This window comes from Homo sapiens, chromosome 4, assembly GCF_000001405.40.
Source record: "Homo sapiens chromosome 4, GRCh38.p14 Primary Assembly".
NCBI lineage: Eukaryota > Metazoa > Chordata > Mammalia > Primates > Hominidae > Homo > Homo sapiens.
This window is the reverse complement of record NC_000004.12, coordinates 166,229,870-166,236,996: the sequence shown is the minus strand read 5'-3', so window position 1 is coordinate 166,236,996 and position 7,127 is coordinate 166,229,870.

The window sequence follows — 7,127 nt, the reverse complement described above, 5'->3', positions numbered from 1 at the left end:
CAGGATACAAAATCAATGTACAAAAATCACAAGCATTCTTATACACCAACAACAGACAAACAGAGCCAAATCATGAGTGAACTCCCATTCACAATTGCTTCAGAGAGAATAAAATACCTAGGAATCCAACTTACAAGGGATGTGAAGGAAGTCTTCAAGGAGAACTACAAACCACTGTTCAAGGAAATAAAAGAGGATACAAACTAATGGAAGAATACTCCATGCTCATGGGTAGGAAGAATCAATATCGTGAAAATGGCCATACTGCCCAAGGTAATTTACAGATTCAATGCCATCCCCATCAAGCTAACAATGACTTTCTTCACAGAATTGGAAAAAAACTACTTTAAAGTTCATATGGAACCAAAAAAGAGCCCGCATCGCCAAGTCAATCCTAAGCCAAAAGAACAAAGCTGGAGGCATCACACTATCTGACTTCAAACTATACTACAAGGCTACAGTAACCAAAACAGCATGGTACTGGTACCAAAACAGAGATATCGATCAATGGAACAGAACAGAGCCCTCAGAAATAATGCCGCATATCTACAACTATCTGATCTTTGACAAACCTGAGAAAAACAAGCAATGGGGAAAGGATTCCCTATTTAATAAATGGTGCTGGGAAAACTGGCTAGCCATATGTAGAAAGCTGAAACTGGATCCCTTCCTTACACCTTATACAAAAATCAATTCAAGATGGATTAAAGACTTACATGTTAGACCTAAAACCATAAAAACCCTAGAAGAAAACCTAGGCATTACCATTCAGGACATAGGCGTGGGCAAGGACTTCATGTCCAAAACACCAAAAGCAATGGCAACAAAAGACAAAATTGACAAATGGGATCTAATTAAACTAAAGAGCTTCTGCACAGCAAAAGAAACTACCATCAGAGTGAACAGGCAACCTACAAAATGGGAGAAAATTTTCACAACGTACTCATCTGACAAAGGCCTAATATCCAGAATCTACAATGAACTCAAACAAATTTACAAGAAAAAAACAAACAACTCCATCAAAAAGTGGGCGAAGGACATGAACAGACACTTCTCAAAAGAAGACATTTATGCAGCCAAAAGACACATGAAAAAATGCTCATCATCACTGGCCATCAGAGAAATGCAAATCAAAACCACAATGAGATACCATCTCACACCAGTTAGAATGGCAATCATTAAAAAGTCAGGAAACAACAGGTGCTGGAGAGGATGTGGAGAAATAGGAACACTTTTACACTGTTGGTGGGACTGTAAACTAGTTCAACCATTGTGGAAGTCAGTGTGGCGATTCCTCAGGGATCTAGAACTAGAAATACCATTTGACCCAGCCATCCCATTACTGGGTATATACCCAAAGGACTATAAATCATGCTGCTATAAAGACACATGCACACGTATGTTTATTGTGGCACTATTCACAATAGCAAAGACTTGGGACCAACCCAAATATCCACCAATGATAGACTGGATTAAGAAAATGTGGCACATATACACCATGGAATACTATGCAGCCATAAAAAATGACGAGTTCATGTCCTTTGTAGGAACATGGATGAAATTGGAAATCATCATTCTCAGTTAACTATCTCAAGAACAAAAAACCAAACACCGCATATTCTCACTCATAGGTGGGAATTGAACAATGAGAACACATGGACACAGGAAGGGGAACATCACACTCTGGGGACTGTTGTGGGGTGGGGGGAGGGGGGAGGGATAGCATTGGGAGATATACCTAATGCTAGATGACGAGTTAGTGGGTGCAGTGCACCAGCATGTCACATGTATACATATGTAACTAACCTGCACATTGTGCACATGTACCCTAAAACTTAAAGTATAGTAATAATAAATTTTAAAAAGACAATACATGTTCAGTAGAAACCATTCTGTTTTTCATTTTCAGTACAGTATTCAATAAATTACATGAGATACTCAACACTTAATTATAAAGTAGGATTTGCATATGATGATTATGCCCAAGTGTAGGCTAATATAAATGTTCTGAACACATTTAAGGTAGGCTATGTTATGATGTTTATTAAGGTAGGTGTATTAAATCCATTTTTGGCTTAAAATATTTTCAGCATACATGGATCTATAAGGGCTTAATGCCATCATAAAGTCAAGGAACATTTCTACAATTTTTTTTTAACTTTCTCGGGTATATTCCTCAGATGATTCACAGAAAGTTGTTCATCTCCTGATTATCATGCTAAATGAAATTCTAGAAATGACATAATCTGTGTAACTACATTAAAAAATTTACCTATTTCTAAACTCCCAAACACATTAGAAAAATCATTTCAAATTGGCGAACTGCATGTTCTTTCTCCATCCCCTCTCCGTGTCCTCATATATTGCATCTTTGGCCTAGAACTACTTGTTCAATTTCTGTAATCTGTATTATCTTGTGATTTTAATTCAGCTTAATCATAGAACTGAAATGAATAAAACTTTGTTCAATTTATTCTCCAGACTATTTACAAATTAATTTACAATAGTAATTGCGGAATGTAATAATTTGACCCCTTTAAGGAACTTGTAGGCATTAGTCAATACTTGTGGATGGCAAATGTTTAGGAAAAGATTCTCCAAAGTCATTTTATGTCAATTTATGAAGCAGACCAAGAAAATTTTAGTAATGTTAGGATTGCTTTGGGGACAAGTAATACTGAATCGTCCTCTATTTGGGATTTTTCACAGTTTCCAGAAACATAGCATAACATAGCAATCAGAGATGCTTCTTGATTTATGATGGCATTACCTCCCAGTAAACCCATATTAAAGTCAAAACATCATAAGTCAAACCATTGTAAATTGGGAACCATGTAGATAGGAAACTAAAGGAACTTACTTCTGGAGGATCAAACCGCAAAAATGAAGCAGAAACTCTTTTTCTTTTTTTTTTTTTTGAGACAGAATCTTGCTCTGTCGCCCAGGCTGGAGTGCAGTGGTGTGATCTCTGCTCACTGCAGCCTCTGCCTCCCAGGTCCAGCGATTCTCCTGCCTCAGCCTCCTGGGTACTTGGGTTTACAGGCACCCACCAACATGCCTGGCTAAGTTTTGTGTTTTTTTTCGTGGAGACGGGGTTTCATCATGTTGGCCAGGCTGGTCGTGAACTACTGACCTCAGGTGCTAGGATTACAGGCACGAGCCACCACACCTTTTACTCACTGAGCTTTACCGGTGTCTTGAATCAAAAATTGTTCTAGAGCCCAAGATTTCACCCCTGTCTCTCTCTTCTCTCTAATCCCTTATCAACCTGGCAGAGAAAGTTCTCTGACTCCAGCACCTGACCTTTAACTCCTGCACACCTAAACTGAAAACTGGTTTCTTATGTTGATTTTCTCTCTAAACTTTAACCTTCCCTTGCTTCTAGTATTGTTTTTGCAGGGTGGCAAGCAGAAAATAACTGGTCTCAAAGTCTTGAATTCCTCATATGTTACGCAAACTTCATTTAAAGCCATTCTGGAAAAGCCGTCCACATGCCACCTACCCAGCAGTACTCTTTATTCTCTAGGGAAAAAAAGAGAGGACTGTTTGTGGTGCCTTGAATCCATACTGTTTTATACATCTATTTCTTGGTACATATTGTTCATGTTGTTTATCAAAGTCCTGCCTTTTGTCATAAGAGTTTCTTCATGAATGAATACAGGTGTTCCTGGGGAAAATATAAATATTGATAGATAATGTGTTCTGGCTGCACTTAAATGCCAAGAGATGTTTATGAAGCCAAGACAGGCAGGAAAAAACATACTCCTTTAAAATATTCTTTTCCTCTTTCTTTAGAGATATAAGCTTGACTTGTTCCATTGGGAGTATTTAATGGTCTAAATGAGAACAACTTTGCTAGAAGTAGAGCTAGAAGTGCAATCATTTTCCTGTCTAAGCACAGCACTTAACACAAGAAAAAAAAAATGACTCACAAGCATGAGACTAAATTTAATACCATCTTATATCCTCTCCCAACCAAGTAGAGAACAAAAGGCATTTCTCTAAGAAAAGGGGAAAAAAGCATATAGAATTTCAATCTTTCATTCTTCTAGACAGTGTAAGGTTGCACATCTAATGTGGGAAAGAAATTTGTATGTGTCAGTGGTGAGGAGGTGCTGTATAAGCCTAATAACTTTTCTGAGTCCTCTGAGTCTTTTTTGCAAAGAATTGAGCCTAAGGGCAGTTTTGGGAACCCTCAAGAAAGTAAGATACCTTTCAACGTTTAGATTGTTCTTACCCTCTACAAATAACTTTAATTCACTGCCTGAATCACACCTCATGCAAATCTCAAATAAACAGTCATTGTATTATTTTGGTGCAAAAGTAATTGTGGTTTTGCCTTTACCTTTAAAGGCATTACCTAATAAATGAATTGCTTCATGAAGTAAAGGGGATGTATTAGTTTTCAAACTTATTTCAGCCATAAGGACATATATTCAACCAATAAAAGCAGAACTGCTCTGATGGAGAGGGTGAAAGTTGACAAGGAAAGCCCTCCACTTTGTGGGCAGTGGCGGCTGAAGCATCTGCACAGAGGTCAATAAGTCATATTTTGAAAGTCACTGAAAGGTTTGAAAATGACTTTACACATCAAGCCAAGATATCAGTGCTTGTGCATAAGTTTATGTAACCTATAAAAAATCATAAAACTGCAAGCCATTTCAACTGTAACTAGATGGAATTGTATCCGTGCACTACATATAAATGATGCAGAAATCCAGAGGATTGTTGAGTTTGAAATATCCCCTACATGAGAAAAGTATCTCCATAAAGAAATTTTCTTTATCGATAACTTTCAAAATTGAAAGAAAAGTTCATAAAATAACCAAATCATAAGAAAAAGAAAACCATTAAAATGTTTTGAATTCACAAAAACCAGATATCCAACAATAAAACTTCTTAGCCTGGTATGAAGCAATGTTGATTTACCCAATGGATATGATAACATTTTAAAGTACTAGAGAGGGAAGAGTCCCTTCGCAATATAAATGTTGAGACTTAAAAACTGCAGGTACTATAAAAGTAATGAAACAACTCTGGTAACATCCCCCTTGGTTAAAATGTGGTCATATTTTCTAGAAAATAAAACTGAAAACCAATGATATTCTATAATAGATTCAATTTGTTGTGTGTGCCTCGGGAAAAAAGTATCAGAGTATGTTCATGCGTTCGTGAAATATTTTACAGAAAAAAAAATTTGTCACTTCTTCTCCCATAACTGGTGCTGAAATAATTTTATGGATCATTCATTGTGTTAAGATGGACTAGAAATAAATTTATCTCATGCCATACATGCCATGCAATACAACTCATACCATGCAGTACAACTCAGATTTGCAAAGATATTTATTAATAGATGTAATCAATCCCACACTTTCCTAGAGCTCTCAGTTTAGGATACTATAGAGGAAAATGATAATTTGTGGACAGACTATTAACTTAGAAAAGTTTCCATGGTTATCAAACTGTTTTAAAATTTTTTAATTCCTCAAACTTTATAAAACTAAAACAAGAACAAAGAAACACCATACTGAGAAATGTGCAGAATGTTTTATCGCAATAATCTGGGTCTAGTTTTATTAAGTAACCTTGTGTCCATAAGTTTCCGGAGATAGAAAAATAAAACATCGCTGCCCTTGTGGAATTGATACTCATCTAATTTTATTTTAACATAATTAATATTTTAAAACATATATAAAGTTGGTATATTTGTAGATAGCTTCCATAAGTAGAAAAATAAGTAGATTTCATTTTTAAAAGGAGAAGGGAGACACTTTGTCTAAAGATAAAATTATTAGATGAGAAACAATTTCTGTACAATTCAAGCAAATAAGACCTCCTTTGCTAGAATGCCTGAAGTGACCGTATGTTAGAGAGCTTCCTAACAATGATTCATATTTTTAAAACAATTTTCTAATGCAATTCTGCCTCTGAATGCTTTGCTTACATCATCCTATACTTCTCATAAAGATAGTATTACTTGGAGAAAAAAAGCAGTAGCTTCAGGGTCCAGAAGTTAGATGAATGAAAACAATAGGAATGGTAAGGACAACTCAAGACCTTGTGTAACCATTTCTTCAGTCTGAGTCTTCACAACCTCCTCACACTAGTTTTATGTTGTCTCCTGAGGCTGCAAAACACTGTCTTTAAATAGTAAAGTTCTATGTAAAGTTAATAATATATTTAAGCACTCTCATTCAGAAGAAAAAAGCCTTAGGGAAACTAAAGTAAAAAAGTAGATAATCTTTTTGAAATTTAAAAAAAAAAAGTTCTTGATTCTCAGTGTAACTCTCTATGGAAGTTTTTTTATTGAAAAGTAATATTTTATATTCCATGTTTTTGCTTCATGAAATTCAGGAAGATAATCAAAACAAAATAAAAATGTCAAACATTTCAAATTATGTTTTTCTTTAAAAGGGATAGATTACTTCATTTTTTTCTTCAAGATAATATGTAGTCATAAACACTGGAGCTAGTAGGAAGATGCTTTCCATTAACTGGATAATATACAAAAAGCAAGACATTCTAAATATGCAAGTTTAAATAAAAGATCTCATTGCTTAAAATACACAAGTTTTCGTTGAAGACTTCCTTCTCATAAACTATATAGCAAAGAAAGACAAATGCAAGAATTTTTTAAATCAAATTTACTTGCTGAGGCAATTCAACTTTCCAAAGAAACAGGAAGTTAGAAAACATATAGGCCTGGTGCGGTGGCTCACACCTATAATCCCAGCACTTTGGGAGGCTGAATCACAAGATCAGGAGTTCGAGACCAGCCTGGCCAACACAGTGAAACCCCATCTCTACTAAAAATACAAAAACTTAGCTGGGCATAGTGGCAGGTTCCTGTAATCCAAGCTACTCAGGAGGCTGAGGCAGAAGAATCGCTTGAATCTGAGGAGGCAGAGGCTGCAGCCAGCCAAGATCATGCCACTGCACTCCAGCCTGAGTGACAGAGTGAAAGTCCATCTCAAAATAAATAAATAAATAAATAAATAAATAAATAAATAAATAAAACTGATAATCTGATAATATATGTATGTGTTGGGTGCAATTTAGAACTTTTATTATTCTAAGAACACTACAAGAGCAGTTAAAGCCATGGCTTCTCAAATTGGCATGTC